This window comes from Homo sapiens, chromosome 1, assembly GCF_000001405.40.
Source record: "Homo sapiens chromosome 1, GRCh38.p14 Primary Assembly".
Lineage (NCBI taxonomy): Eukaryota > Metazoa > Chordata > Mammalia > Primates > Hominidae > Homo > Homo sapiens.
The window spans coordinates 144297730-144314286 of NC_000001.11; the positions used below are offsets into that span (position 1 = coordinate 144297730).

The 16557-nt window shown below is 37.5% G+C and overlaps 1 annotated feature.

Moving 5' to 3' along the window:
- Positions 15611–16219: an enhancer, noted in NCBI's record as "H3K4me1 hESC enhancer chr1:148864647-148865255 (GRCh37/hg19 assembly coordinates)". NCBI's record gives its function as "activates a minimal SCP1, AML or CMV promoter by ChIP-STARR-seq in naive H9 embryonic stem cells {active_cell/tissue: H9 hESC(naive)}" and the evidence as "EXISTENCE:reporter gene assay evidence [ECO:0000049][PMID:30033119]".

The window sequence follows — 16557 nt, forward strand, 5'->3', positions numbered from 1 at the left end:
AGACAGAGTTGAAACACAACAGGTTATGTTCAAGGTCAAAACATAAAACGACTGAATTACTTTTCTTGAGGAACAACTGAAAGATTAACCAGCTGGGTGTGGTGGCTCATGCCTATAATCTTAGCACTTTGAGAGGCTAAAGTGTGTGGATCGCTTGAGCTCAGGAGTTCGAGACCAGCCTGGGCAACATGGTGAAATCCTGTCTCTACCAAAAATACAAAAAACAGCCGAGCGTGGTGGCACACGCCTGTAGTCTCAGCTACTCAGGAGGCTGAGGCAGGAGAATCACTTGAACCCAGGAGGCAGAGGTTACAGTGAGCCAAGATTACGCCACTGCACTCCAGCCTGGGTGACAGAGGGAGACCCTGTCTCAAAAAAAAAAAAAAAAAAAAAGAGGAAGGAAGGAAGGTTGGTTGGTTAACTAAATAGAAGGACTATATCTCAGTATTTTTCAATACAAATACATTTAAAAGCAGTTTTTTTTGTTTGTTTGTTTTTTTGTTTGTTTGTTTTTGAGATGGAGTCTCGCTATGTCACCCAGGCTGGAGTGCAGTGGCACAATCTCAGCTCACTGCAAGCTCTGTCTTCACGGCATTCTCCTGCCTCAGCCTCCCGAGTAGCTGGGACTACAGGCGCCTGCCACCATGCCCAGCTAATTTTTTGTATTTTTAGTAGAGATGGGGCTTCACCATGTTAGCCAGGATGGTCTCGATCTCCAGACCTCACGATCCACCCACCTCGGCCTCCCGAAGTGCTGGGATTACAGGCATGAGCCACCGTGCCCAGCCTAAAAGCAGTTTTAATGGATAGTACTAATGCTTTATAAGAGCAATTTATATTCATATGAACCCTAATGACTACAAGTGTTAATAATGCCAATATTCATCATTAGGGAGTAAGTAAAGCCATGACAAATCCAAACATTAGAAAATTACGCAACATTTTAAAAGTAGGGAGGTAGAAACTTGTATAGACTGCCATGAAAGAAATTATCAAAAGACGTTGTTGATGAAAAAATAAATTGCAGAACAGTATTTGAGGTATAGCACTATAATATAAAAACATGCAAAGTCATTATATGTAGTCTATGGGCACATATAATAGGTTGAATCATAAGAAATTGCTGCTTTTCATCAGTTCAGAAATAATATTGGCAATTTCATATGGATCAACCTAATATATAAATATACCAAACTGGTAACAGGGAAATAAGGAGGACTTGAGGAGTTAGTAATGGTAAATTCTGATCTACCTATAACGCTTTAATTTTTTTAATAGAGAAAATGTATTGATGTGTTGTATGCATAGCATTAACAAAATTAGCTTTCTAAGATTTTAGAGAATCATCCAAGATGATTCACAAAAGTAGAATCATCATCACCAGTAAGAAACTAAGTGACTACTAAAAGTAATCATTAATTCAGTCATAGGACTAATGATGCATTGACAAGGTTATTGAGATATATAATTATGGAAATGGCTAAAATAGAGATAAAGTATCTATTTCTACCTCCCAACCACTAACAGAAAATTCAACACATTATACACACTGAGCAGCTCAAAGAAATTGTAAAGATCCATTATTATTTTTAAAAGGAAATTTAACCAGTGGATGCTTTCACTGAAAATGATAAACAATATATTCCCAGTATAAACCAGAAACAAAGTCTGCAGTAGAAAACTACAATGTCCCTAGATTCAAGTGGGGGTGGGGAGTCATATTTAAATAATAAGTGCAGAAAAACCAAAATATTTTAAAATAATTGTCCATGCAAGAAAGAAAACAGTATCCTCTAGCTTGAAGACCCACTGTTTTTATTTTATAATTTATTTCATGACCTTTAGACTGCTAGAAAAATAAAACCTAACTTGAGGGCAAAGGTAATCTTTGAGAAAATATGTGCTATTGTTGCCTGCATAGATAATAGTGTGATTTATCCAGAAGGTGATAGAAATTTCATTTTCCTAGACCACAGATATAAGCCAAGGAGAATAGAAAGCTCTGACCTAAACTTCACAAGTGTCCCTTCCAAGCAGGGACACGTAAGAGTAAACAAAAAAAGAAGATCAAACTAAACTCAAAGTGAGAAGATAGGAAAAAATAAAGATGAGAATATAAATCAATAAAACAGAAAGGGGAAAGAAAATAGAGAAAAGTCCATGAAAACAAAGGCTGACTCAAGAAGATCAATAAGATTGATAAATCTCTAGCCAGACTGATCAGGAAAAAAATAAGACAAGATACAAATTATTAGTATCAAGAATGAGGAAGGTGAAATCACTACAGATTCTACAGGTATTAAAATAATAAGAAACATTATGATCAACTCCATTCCTTTAATTTGTCAAGATAGACAAAATGAACAAATTTCTTGAAAGGTGCAAATTTATGCAAGGAGAGACAGATAACCTAAATAGGTACCTATTAAAGAAATAAAATTTGTTGTTAAAAACTGTCCCACAGGCTGGGCACCAGTGGCTCATCCCATAATCCTAGCACTTTGGGAGATGGATCACCTGAGGTCAGGAGTTCGAGACCAGCCTGGCCAACATGGCGAAACCCCATCTCTACCCAAAACACAAAAATTAGCTAGGCATGTTGGTGCATGCCAGTAATCCCAGCTACTCAGAAGGCTGAGGCAGGAGAATTGCTTGAACCTGGGAGGTGGAGGCTGTAGTGAGCAGAGATCACGCCACTGCACTCCAGCCTGGGCATGGTGGCTCATGCCTGTAATCCCAACACTTTGGGAGGCCAAGGCAGGTGGATCACATGAGGTCAGGAGTTCGAGACCAGCCTGGCCAACATGGTGAAAAACTGTCTCTACTAAAAATACAAAAAAAAAAAAAAAAAAAATTAGCCAGGCATGGTGGCAGGCACATGTAATCCCAGCTATCCAGGGGGCTGAGGCAGGGGAATCACTTGAACCTGGGAGGCAGTGGTTGCATGAGCTGAGATTGTGCCATTGCACTCCAGCCTAGGCAACAAGAGCGAAACTCCATCTCAAAAGAAAGAAAAAAAAAAAGAAAACACAACAAAAACCCCCCACAAAGAAAATTTCAGGCCAAGATGGTTTCACTAATAAATTCATGTATAATATAAGAAGATACATTTCCACTACTACACAACTTTTCCAGAAAACTGAAGATGAGAATATACTTTCTGATTCATTCTATGAAGCTGGAGTTATGCTGATACCAAAACCAGATGAAGACATTACAAGAAATTAAGACTACAGGCTGGGGCATGGTGACTCACGCCTGTAATCCCAGCATTTTGGGAAGCCAAGGTGGGAAAATTGCTTGAGCTCAGATGTTCGAGACCAGCCTGGACAACATAGTGAGATGCTGTCTCTATTAAAAATTTTAAAAAAGTAGTTGGGTGTGTTGGCACACAGCTATGGTCCCAGCTACTTGTGAGACAGAGGTGGGAGGTCAAAGCTGGAGTTAGCTATGATCGCACCACTGCACTCCAGCCAGGAATTAGAACGAGAACCTGTCTCAGAAAAAAAAAAAAAAAAAAAAAGAAGAAAAAAAGTGCACAGGTCTACAACCGTGGTGCATCCACAGTTTTATTAATATTCAGCAAGAAAAGGAAGTACACTGTTAACAAGTACAACAGCATAGATTAATCTCCAAATAATTGTGCTGAAATAAATCAGTCCAAAAAGCACACAGTTCTGTATGATTCCACTTATATACAACTCTAGAAAATGCAAACTAATCTTGGGGACAAGGACGGATGGCAGGGGGAATGCAGAAAATTACAGAGGGACATGAAGAAACGTTGGGAGATGAATATATTCACTATCATGATTGTGGTATCGTTTTCAAGGGTGTATATGTATATATCAAAGCTTATGGAATTGTACATGTCAAATATAGCTTATATCAACTATACCTCAATAAGCCTGGTTTTAAAATTTTTCTTTTTGAAAAAAGGACAAGAATCTAAGCTTCCTTATTCCTGGTTTAGTAGTAAACTTGAACAATTTCACCTGTCTCCTATACTTAAAATGACATTTCAGAATTTTAAAAACAGGATTTTAATAAAATAGCGAAGTTATTACATAAAATATTTGCTAGTAGTTAACAAATATATTTGTAATACACATATAAATAAAGCCTCGTAACATGATAGTAAGCAAATATCAATCTTAAAATTTTTTAAATAAAAGAGCAACTATATTACATACTGACTTTTTAGAGAGGGTTGGCATAGAAAGATAAGGAGTCAAAGAGGAAGGTAAGAAAAGAGAAAGGATGAGAAAGTAAATATACAAGAAAACGTAACCAGAGGCTCAAAAAAAAAAAAAAAGCAAAGTAGGACAGTAAAATAAACATTTTGACCTATTTATATGATTTTTAAGTTCAAAATAACTTGCTATGAGATTTTCATCATTAACTGACATTTAGATTAGAGAAAATATACATGAAGCAAGCCTCACCCCAGGCAATACAACAGCTCCGATTCCACTTTTCAGCTTTGACCTGCCTCGGCCACCTCGCCCCGACAGTCCTGCACCTCGAGGTCTCCGCTTTCCTGGAAATCCAGACCCATGGCCCTATGTAACAGATTAGGAAAAGTCAACATTCTGTGACAGCCCAAAATAATTTTTAAATCCAAATGCCACTGAGATAAAACATTTTATTAAATGTTATACAAACACTTCTTTAGATAAGTATTAAGAGACCTGGCTTATTATTTTTATCTTTAAAAGTATATTCCACAACTTAAAATTCTAAATATAAAATGCTTACAACCTTAGAATCATACTTTCGGGCTGTCACTGTGAACGCTATCAGCAAGCCTTTGCATGATTTTTCTCTTTGCCACTCCTACATTCTCGGTGACGACAACAACTATAGCCTTATCCAGATATTTCGAAGTGCAACAAATTGTATTCAATATAGAGTAAGGATAAGGAAGAACTCTCTCATTAACTGGTCTCGCGGTGATTACAGTAATAGCTAACATCTATTGAGTACTTACTATGTACTAATCTAAGTATTTTTTACTCTCAACAATCCCATATAGTAGGTTTTATTATCCTCGTTTGAGATGAGTGTGCTGAGGAATAAAATGGTTAAGTAACTTGTCCAAGGTCGCTTAGCTAGCAAGCCTGGCTCCAGCGTCCCTGGGTTGGAAGCATATTCTGTACTGCTACATCAGCATGAAAGTTTATTTTTGCTAGTGTGTAACAGTATTCTTCCTGTCATTAAAATTAAGTCAGTTTCCTTCACTATTCAACAGTTCTCTTATGAACTCAACATTTCTACCTCATTCACCATTGTATTTAGAGGAAAATTTATTATTATTGTTATTACTTTTATTTTTGAGACAAGAACTTGATCCGTCACTCAGGTTGGAGTGCAGTGGTGTGATCACAGCTCACTGCAGCCTAGAACTCTTGGGCTCAAGTGATCCTCCTGCTTCTGCCTCCCAAAGTGCCAGGATTACAGGAGTAAGCCAAAGCGTCCAGCCAGGAAAAATTATTTGAGGATTACAGGAAAGCTGACAAAAGGCTTTGTGAAAGCTTTGCTTTAAATAATCTGAATAATAAATACTTGAAATGGAAATAATTTATCTGACTTCTTACACAAGAAATAAACCTATGGGAAAATGTGTTAAATTCCCTGATAATTTCAGACATTAAGTACCAGAGTATGGTGTTCCCTGCCCCCTCACCCTTGTTCGTACTAATTAATTACTCCTTGAAAAAACCTGGCACCTACCTAAGTAGATGAATTATGTGTATTTAAAATTATCCAGATGCTCAGGAAAATACTTAGGTGTTTCCCTCACCATAAGTTAAATAATATGTCATATCTTCAACTGATGTCCCTTATCATAGTTTGAAATAAACTGATTCCCTATTTAGCAGAATGGTTTCCAAGTCAAAAATTTATGATGATACTGTAAGCATAAAATAGAAACACATGAACAAAAGGAATGGGAGGAATGGCTTTTTTCCCTTTGGATGTAATAAATACAGCCAGCTCCCAGTTTCAAACTGCCACTCCTGTCTTCTCTTACCCTGCTCTCCTTGAGATCCCTTTTGAGAAGTGCATCAGCTTCTTTGCACAACAGATAGATGGGGTCAGGTTAGTTTTTTGGGTTTTTTGTTTGTTTGTTTGTTTTTGAGATGGAGTCTCGCTTCTTTGCCCAGGCTGGAGTGCAATGATGTGATCTTGGCTCACTGCAACCTCCATCTCCTGGGTTCAAGCAATTCTCCTGCCTCAGCCTCCCTAGCAGCTGGGATTACAGGCACATGCCACCACGCACGGCTAAATCTCTTTGTATTTTTAGTAGAGACGGGGTTTCACCACTTTGGCCAGGTTGGCCTCGAACTCCTGACCTCCGGTGATCTGCCCCCTCAGCCTCCCAAAGTGCTGGGATTACAGGCGTGAGCCACTGCGCCCGGCCGAGTTTGTTTTGTTATTAAACTGGTATAAAAGATTTTTGAAAAATTAAGTCAGTGATTAAAAATCAAGACTACAGTAATCTCTCAATTTATTTTCTCAAACATGAAATGCTGACCCAGAAAAAAGGTAAGTAAAAATTGGTGGTCTATATTATCAAACTGTCAAATGAGGTATATTTATACCTCAATATCTTGGATGATATCAGGGGGAGGTAGGGAGGTTAAAAAAAAATAGTTCTTCCAGTCATGAAAGAAAATAAAGTATAATCTAGAATTCCTTAAAATCCTTGATTAGTCTGAATTAAACAGCCATATTCCAGAATATTAAATATAGAATATGAAGAAAAACTGTCATCTCCAGTCAATGAAGTATTTTAACTTTTGAGTTAATACTTTTTCAAATTAATTTTTTTCTCTTCAAAATGCATCACACTACTTAACTCACTTCAAGGACTGGCACAGCCATCAACCAATGTCATGGGGAAAAAAGCCTTGTCATTTTAAGGTATTAAACAGACAATGAAATCTGCCACAATTTTGGTATTTCTTCTCCATAAGAACATAATAAATTAATGGAGTTTTTTCTTTTGCTTTTTTCTAAGCAACAAAGTTTTATGATATCATGAATGAAAAGGTCCTTAATTACCTTTTGGTCTACATGTCAAGGACTTCTCCCTCATAAAACCGGTAGTAATCACAACAAAAGGAATTAACCATAAAAAGAGGTATTAAAAATGTATATTGATTTTTAAATGCAAGCATATTATTTCTTTACATTAAAATTTTTAGATTTAAAAAGTGTTTCTGGAAGCTCAATCTAGAAAAGAAAGATTTAATTCTTTACACCCAGTAGGGCAAAACAAATCAGACAGAAATGATATATGAATGTAAATGCAATTTTATTTACCACTTTGATGCTCCAAATGGCACTGCCAGGAAGCTGCCTGGGTTTAAAAATTTCCCGACCTCCTGAAATGTCTGGGGATCAGGAAGGTGGGCTCACTGTATTATGGGTACTCCAAGCCTCCTAGGATATGGCAGTTGAGAAAATAGATGTGTAAAACTCAGCAACATAAAAGGTCAAAGCCAGCAACTAAGGAATTTTAGAACAGCAAAAACAAATGCAAACATATGGAAATTTAGGACAAATTGCTTCAAGGAAGGCAAAATAAGCTAATCACTAACAGTGATTTAAACATTTAAGTATAACAAATAACTTAAATGTTTGCTGCTACAGAGACATCACTACAATGAAACATTAAAAATTAAGGTTTATATGACATCAACATTGACTCATGAACTGCAATTACTGCACCAAAAAGTAAATAAAAGTCAATCACACTTTAAGAATTAACACTAGAAGAAAGTATTGGGGGGTTATTTTTCTTCTAACAACTATCACTCTACTTAAAAGGAGAAATGGATAACCATAAGGAATTCTATATTCTATAGCTATAAACAACCAAAACCAGTAGGCCAAAGAATGCAATGAGAAACATAAGCAATAGATAAATGCATAAACTTTACACTGTAGAGAGCTGGTAACATTAAAATGCAAATACCATTATAATCTTAGCATTTAATCACTCTTTCTTCAGTGACCATTAGTTGCCGGTTTGGTTTCGGTTTTTACTCAGGGAAATGAATACTTTATGGAAATTACATCCAATGGACAAAAGTGAAGAAACGTTAAAGCAAATTGTCCTAAATTTGCAAATTAAAATGCCTAAAGTACCTGATAAATTATATAGAAAGTAGTATCTTATTAAAATCTATATAACTAAAACTAAAGCATTTTACTTCCAAACAACCACATTCAGCAATACCCTGAACTAATCTGAAGATGCTAAACAGCATAAAGAAAAATGTTTACTCCACAAAGGTAACATTTTAAAGAAAAACAAGACAAATGTCAAACAATAAAAGGATATATTTTGAATTAGGTAATTCAATGGTGCATGCATAATTTTACCAATCAAGTAACCAAAACTTAAGACAAGGTACATAGTACTTACCAGGTTTCTAGAATATCATCAAATTAACAAGTACTATCTCATTAATCACATAAAAATACCACCAGGAATTAAAATAACCAGAAATAAGAATGTGACTACTCTTGGGGTAAGAGATAGGTAACGGAATAACGGTATTTTGGAAAAGCCACACAAGCAATAGACTGGTTTCATTTTTAAGTCACAAACTCAACCCACACACATTGAAGTCCAGCAATCCAACTCATTCTCTCCAGCAAACACTTTATTTTTTTCCCCCTCCAGGATTACCCTCAGGTGTTCTTTCTTACCCATCAAATCTCTAACCTAGCTCAGGTAATCACTATGCTGATTTCACTGAGCAGCAACCACTGCAGGTCAATTACCTCACTTTCATAATTTCAAATCAACTTGAATCTGTACCTATGTCTTCTTCCCTACTATTAGTAGGGAAGTGTTGTCAAAAGCCATTTCTCTTTTCTCATTTTACTCATGCTCCTAACATCTGGCATACTGTTCTGCTGGATTTGGCAGCAGCCCACCTGTGGATAATTCACTGACTTCCTCGCTAATCTTTCTTCATCTCCTGTACGTGTTCTTCCTCTATTTGACTTCCAAAGCCCTGGAGTTTCCCAGGGCTTGAGCCTAGATCCTAAATGGTGTTATCTACAATGAGGGCATCTTGCAAGTTGATGCTTCCCACATTCTTATTTCTAGTTTTAATCAAAGATCTCCAAATTAGCAGGATTTTCAACTTCCTCCTTAGCATTTCCATTTTCTCACATAAAACCCCTCTTAATTTTGCCATGGTTAAAATTTCTCCCTTAACCGGTTTCATCCCAGTCTTCCCCATCCTTATAAATGGCATCCAGTCCCTTGTCACTCTCCTCTGCTCCTTCAGTCCTCTCCCCCAACACCTCGTCAATGCAAATCATCAGCAAATTCAAGACTTTTTATCTTCAAGTTTTGTCTCCGATCCTTCTGCTTCTTGTCACTTCCACCACTAGCAGCCCACTCGTGGCCACCACCATCTCTCACCTAACCTGCTACAAGAGTCTACTGCTGGTTATGCTTCTCCCACCCTGCATCTACTCAAGCCTTTCCCCACAGCAGCCAGAGGAACTTTTCAAAAGTACAAATGTGATCAAGCAAGTCACTATTCTATTTCAAATCTTCAATTGCTTCTCAGAGCACTTAAAAGACAAACCTTTCCCAGTGCCTTTCTCCAGCTCATCTTGTGGCACTTGTCTCCCTGCTGCTATGCTCCAGCTATTCTGGCTTCCTTGCTGTCCTTCAAACATGCCAAGCTCTTTATCAATCAGAGCCCAACTGACTCAGAACACTTCACTATACCATTCCAGCCCTTCAATAAATGTCTGGCATTTTCTTTCTTTCTTTTTTTTTGAGATGGAGTCTCGCTCTGTCACCCAGGCTAGAGTGCGGTGGTGCGATCTCGGCTCACTGCAACCTCTACCTCCCAGGTTCAAGCAATTCTCTTGCCTCAAGCCTCCTGAGTAGCTGGGATTACAGGCATGCACCACCACGTCCGGCTAATTTTTGTATTTTTAGTAGAGAAAGGTTGTCTCCAAGTTGCTCAGGCTGGTCTCCAACTCCCGACCTCAAGTGATCTGCCCACCTTAGCCTCCCAAAGTGCTGGGATTACAGGTGTGAACCACTGCGCTGGGCCAATATTATTTTTTTAAGAAAATACTAATAAAAAGGAACAATTGATATTAAATAAAATTTAACTATTGACTATAAATATATGTTTCAAGAGATTTGAGTGAAAATACCATTCTACGTTAAAATAAAAAATATAACATTCGATAACTATAGTAATAACATGTTCTCAAAGATTCAAGGGGCTAAAGCTAATGAGAAAAAGTTAAATATAAACATCTTACAATTTACCTAATTACTTGAAATAGAAACTTATGTTCATTCCTGTATTTCTCCATTTTTCCAATTTCTAATGTCTACTTCTTTCCATTTTGTATTTTCTTGTATTGAGGCAATTTAAAGAGGATATGCCAGGTCTTCAGAAAGCCAAGAACTGAATATAAGCACTCTGGAACCTATCTGAACTTAATTTTGTCCAAGATTTTTTTAATGGTTGAAAATTGGCTCAACTGGGGATACTAAGAGGAAATATCAGGGGCAAAGGGGATTTGGGTTAAACAGATCGAACAGGATTCTTACTGAAGGCAGGCCAGACCGATCAGAAATCATCTGGAGGGTGGTGGGAGATAACAAATTTGATCAGATATCAAAGGTGATCAGTACTGAGAGTGGGGGATTCTTTGCAAGTTTCTTCCTAAACCTGAGAGATGTGGGCCAGACTAGGATGAACACTGAAAGCTGAGGCTGAGAGGTGGCTTAGAGGATCCCAACTAGAGTTTGGGCAAGGGGAGAGGCTTTGTCAATGCAAACATGCATTCAGCAATATTACCAAGTACAGATGCATGCACCTAAAAATACTGAAAGGAAATATAAGAAAATGTTTAAAAATTTTTAGTGGCTTATTTATTTTATGTAATTTAAATATATATATATATATATATATATATATATAAAATTAAGGTGTACTTTGAACACATACTAACACATTCAAAGAATTAAGTATACATTTGATAATACATAATAGTTACAAAATAAGCAAGGTCTTCATGTAAACGAGTTTAGAATTTCCAGGGTTTATTACTTAGCATTTGATCAGCAGGCCTGTAACTTCTTCTGCTGCCCATTCATTGCCCATTTTATTAAAAATTCCTCAAGTGGATGCATTGGAATGGAAGAAACACTGACTCTTTCCTTCAAAGAAGGAAACAACAAACCTTGTTTGACAACCCTGGTCAAACAAGACAAGGACCAAGTGGCCAGTGGTAAGGAAAGTTGGTCAAAACTAATGAATGACATTTTAGGTTAAAAGTGAATTTTATTTAACCCAATTATTCTTATCCTATGAACACAAATTTGAATTTAAGTTAGCTTGATGTAGCTGGTCACCCCATTCCAAAGCATGAGTCGAAATACCCTAAGGTTCCAGAAGGAGCCAGCTTTCTTCAGAAGGTGGCAAGCGCATTGCAAAGTACTGAGGAAAACTTTCTTTAAAGTATCTTTTTTCATCATTCCATATTTTGCTCCTTATAATTGCAACTGCTCTCCTTATATGTCTCTTTTGAAACTTCTCACTTGTCTAAGGTACTATTGTTCCTCCTCATCTTTTTTTTTTTTTTTTAATAGCATAGTCTCTCTCCCTCCTTGCCATGCTGAAAAGGCTTCTGACTTGCTGTTCTTGCCAGGAAATATTTCTGCAGGGCGTATTGGAGTGGAACTACTTACAGAGTGTCAGGGCAAGTCCTTACATTTGTTTATGCTTAGGACACAACACAGAAGATAATTTTCTAAGTTAAAGATTGTATGATTTTATCTTGACTTCAGAAACTGGTCATACTTTTTTACTTTAGTTTCTAAGAACCTCAGAGCTGAACTTGAAACAACTTTAATAATTCCAATGAGACATTTGTTATTTATCCTTTTTAAAAAAGACTTTTCTAATTTAAATAATTTTATTATTGCTCTAAATTTGCCAGGTTCATTTAAGAATTTTATAAACTGTTTTAAAACTAATTTACATTAAGTTGGAATAAAGTTAACCAAATTAATACAAACATATTTTATTGCACTTCTCTTTATTGTGCTTCACAGATAGGAACATTTTTTCTTTATTTACAAATGAGATGTTTGTGACAACCCTGGTGAAGCAAGTCTATTGGTGCCATTTAACAAACAGCCTGTGCTCACTTTGTGTCTTGGTTTCACACTTTGGTAATCTTCACAATTTTTAAAATATTTCCTTATTATTATATTCGTTACGGTGATCTGTGATCAGTGATCATTAATGTTATGGGAGGCAGAGTTTGCAGTGAGCAGAGATCATGCCAGTGCACTCCAACCTGGGCAACAGAGTGAGACTCCATCTCAAAAAAAAAAAAAAAAAAGGAGTTTTTATATGTAGGGTACAAAATACTATCTGACCTTAGGGTGTGTGCAAATTTTTCTGAATTAATTAAGACTTAAATACCAACAGGAGTGATTGTTTTTGTTACAATCACCAGGTGGGTGATCTGATACTTTCCCCTGAAAAATGCATATACAAAATTTTCACATAATTTAAAAACATCCACGGATGCATAACTATGGAATCAGTTTATGGATCAAGAATTCAACTCCTCAGAAGTAAAAGATTACATGAGAAAGTATCTGATATTGAGGTGACAAGGAATAATGTTGAAATGTATCTCATTAAAAAGTGCAGACAGTTGTGGCTAAGACATTGGGTATTACAGAGGTGCATCCATGTGTCCAGTGAGAAGACTTTAAGAATCTGTTTGGGAATAATGAGAACATGAGCATTCTCCTCCCTACCTCTAGCACTCCCCTCCTGCTATTTGGGTATTGTGAATTTACCAAACACAGTGATTTAGGTCACTTTTATTATTTCAGAAATTCCAGATACCTTACTACTTATATAAAATAGCCCTTGAAAGGATGCTTACCATTAAATAATGTATAATACAAAGAAAAGACAAATGTATGTGATCTGTAGTGCACAGTTATAATACAATCTGAATACTACATTTAAATTTTTCACTCCACTTTCCAAGAAATAAAGCATTGATTCTAAATATATTATCTATTTGTCAAAACAAATAGAAACTATCTAGTGTTTCATTTATAAAAGAAATTAATTAATGGTGTCTCTAAGTTAATTTTTTACTTCTTTTCCCCATATCATTTTTATATTATATGAGAGCATATTTTTCTACTCTACCCTGGAATTAATAAACAAAAAATAAGGTATGATAAGAAAACTTCAAATATAAACATAACCAAACTAAAATAACACCTTTTTTCTTCTATTTACTTTATTTCTTGAACTCAGTGATGTAATATGTCTTCATCTGCCTCTGAGAATACACTTAAAACTACAGAAGCAAATTAACATTTTCCCAATTCACATGTAGTGCAATATTTAAGATTTCATCTAATTGAACACGTGTTGGATCAAATTTATAATACTAAAAGCACTCTTCTACATACTGCAATGTCTAGATGGAAGACAAGCTAGTCAGGTGGCAGAGTGAACATCATTCTGGTAGGCCTTTTCAAGCTGTCACTTGCAAGATGTTTGGACTGCTGAGAATGTTAGCCATAATTAATTGCAGAGATAGGAGGCTGCAAATGGGTGAGGTAATGTTCAAATGCATGGAATGATGACTAGTCATAGTAAAAGATAATAGATGTGGCCACATTGCTTTGAGAAAATTTAGAGAATATTTTGGGTCACAATGATACATTTCTGCATTATTTGTGGAATGTTTTCAATGTAATTACATCACACAGGTAGACTTCCAGATCCTGTGTCTAACTTACTTTCCTTGGCTCTGTGGGAGAACACATATTCTAATGAAGTTCATTTTAAGGCAAATATTTCTTGAAAATACAAAACTGATAGATATATGTATGCAGGTTTCCTTCTTATACGTCTTTTATAAACAATGAAGTTGTATTTCTCCTTTAGTGTTTAATGTGTTTCATCAGATAATGCCCTAGAAGTTTTATCAAATTTTTCTGTCTACCATTTGAAGATGTATGAGAGGGAAAAAATGCAGTCTGCCTGCTTCACTAACAAAAGTAGGACAAAGGCCATCACAACTGAAATATGTGAAACACTTGGTTTTATGAATTTCAAGCATTTTATATCTCTACATTTGGACTCGAGTAAAGACATTTCATAGAAAAACTGAAATATTTTTATTTGTTTATTTTTTAATCTTGATAACCTGCAATAGTTTACAGCCAGAATGGCAGCTTTTATATATGTACACTCATTTAAATACAGTTTCATACCGTAAATAGCCATGGGGCAAAATATCTGCCTCTAGGCACAAAAAAAAAAATCTTTGCCGCTAAATAAACACCTTTAAGTGATACTGCAAAGAATAGATATGAGGTAATTTTTTACCTAAATGACTCTGGCCTGTATTAAGACATATTCACTGTAACAATTCAAGTTTTAAAATCCTTGTTTTGTAACTCAAAAATATATCTTTTTTACAAAACACACCTTTACATTTATTGCTATTGTACATTTATTTGGCAGGAAACAGGGATGTTTGATGTCTTGCAATGATAAAGCGATCGTATTCAATAGAAAATTGTCTCACATTCTGCAAGACTTTTGAACATTCTATAAGACAATTACATAAGTGAAAAACAAATTTGTAGATATTTGAGTACAACCATTTAATATATGAATAAAAGCAGTTCAGAACATTTTAATGTACACTGCATTTTCTGATAGTAAGATTTTAGGTTAAAATAAGATTATACTTCAAAAAGTGTACCATTTTGAAAAAAAAATCATATCACTGCTGGCAATGCCATTTTCATACTAGTCCAACATATTGCTTATCCATCTGTGTTTGTTTGATTTTACTGTTATTACTTTCATGATAATGCTAAAGTACATACATACACACACACACACACACCTAAGGTGTGCAGGCTTTCATCCAAGCTTACTGGTATTAATTAAAAATCAACCAGAGGTAGGGAAAAATAAAACTTATTCAAAAATACTATTGCAATAGGGAGAATATTCCAAACTCAATCTACAGGTGTCTCAGGATCAAACAGGAAAAGGCTTTCCTTTTCTAGGGAAGGACAAGCAGGGCTGGCAGAAGCCTCCTTGGAGAGAAGGACAGGCAGTCGGGTGAGCAGGTGGCAAAACCAGGATGCTCCAATAAAAATAGTTTCTCTGGGAGTCCCGCTCATTTTTGGAGTGAGCTGTTAGCGGGCTGGTCTGTCCTTTAGTGCTTGTTCAGTCTTAGGTGGTGAGCCAAGGTCCAGGGGCCTGAGGAGAGGAGACAAGACTGTCTGAAGTTTGATAAAATCAAGTCAATGGGTAGTTATGAGTAATTGTGAGCAATTGGTCAGCTTTGGGCTCAGCACACACCCCACCTTATGTTGTTTACCACAAACAAAACTTGTCCCTAAAAATTTTTAGGAATGGCATCAGATATAGCGAAGGTTTGCAAACTGATTTTCAGGGTTGGGCTGGTCTTCATGTGTTTGTTAACCTTGAGGACTAGGTATATCATTTGTTAAGTGTGTTATTGGACTGACAGCTGCTCTCTATGAAAAGTAGAATAATCATTGAATATAATAAAAAGAATAATTATTGAAGGTTGGATAAAGAGGTCCGCGGAGCGATGGGCGAGTACGCGGGTGCCACACGCTCCTCGCCTTCTGCTGCCTGCAACTGGTGGCAGCGCTGGAGCAGCAGATCTTTGACTTCCAGGGCCGCCTACCAGTGAGCTCCCACCCTAGCCAATTTCCTGCGCCTCGTGGCGCTCACCCTGGGCATCGTGGGCACCGCAGTGTGGCTGACGCTCCGGGCTGGCCTGAGTGCGTTTATCACCTGCTTCTACCCGAAGGCTGGACCCAATATCCCCAGACCGCGACTTCCCCACAGCGTCCAAATGCCCCTGTACCGATCCAGGGATGGAGAATCGCCGGGCAGCGGGCGACTCCGGTTCTGAGCTTCCCCTGGCCATGGGGCGCTGCCGTGCAGTCTTGTCCCTGGCTGCCTGCTGCACTGTCCCTGCAAAGAAGCCCTCAGCAGCGCCCGCAGATCCTCCTGGCGCTGCTCCGCTTCCTGTTCGCCAGCTATGGGAGCAAAGTCTTCCTGAAGGAGGAGGCAGCTTTGACTTCATCAGCGGCTTCCACTCCTAGGGATGCCAGGCGCCCCAGAAGACGTCACGTTGACACCAGCAGCCTCTATGCGCTTCGGGTAGCCCTGCCCCGCCTGCCCTGGCCCTGTGCCCTTGGCGCTGGACTGACCTCGGCAGCCGCGATCTTGGTCAGGACCAGCAGGCACAGCCCTGGGGGCTCGGGACCCACTGCAGCCTGTGAAGGCCCCATGGCTCTGCACACAGAGAGGCGGAGCAGCAGACTTTGGGACTTGGCCCCTCACAACCAGGACTTCAGAGAGGATTGGGGCGGGTAAGGGAGGGGCCACGGAGTCCGCATTTTAAAAAAATTCAGACTTAGTGTGAGCTGGAGCTTTTCTCCCTTCT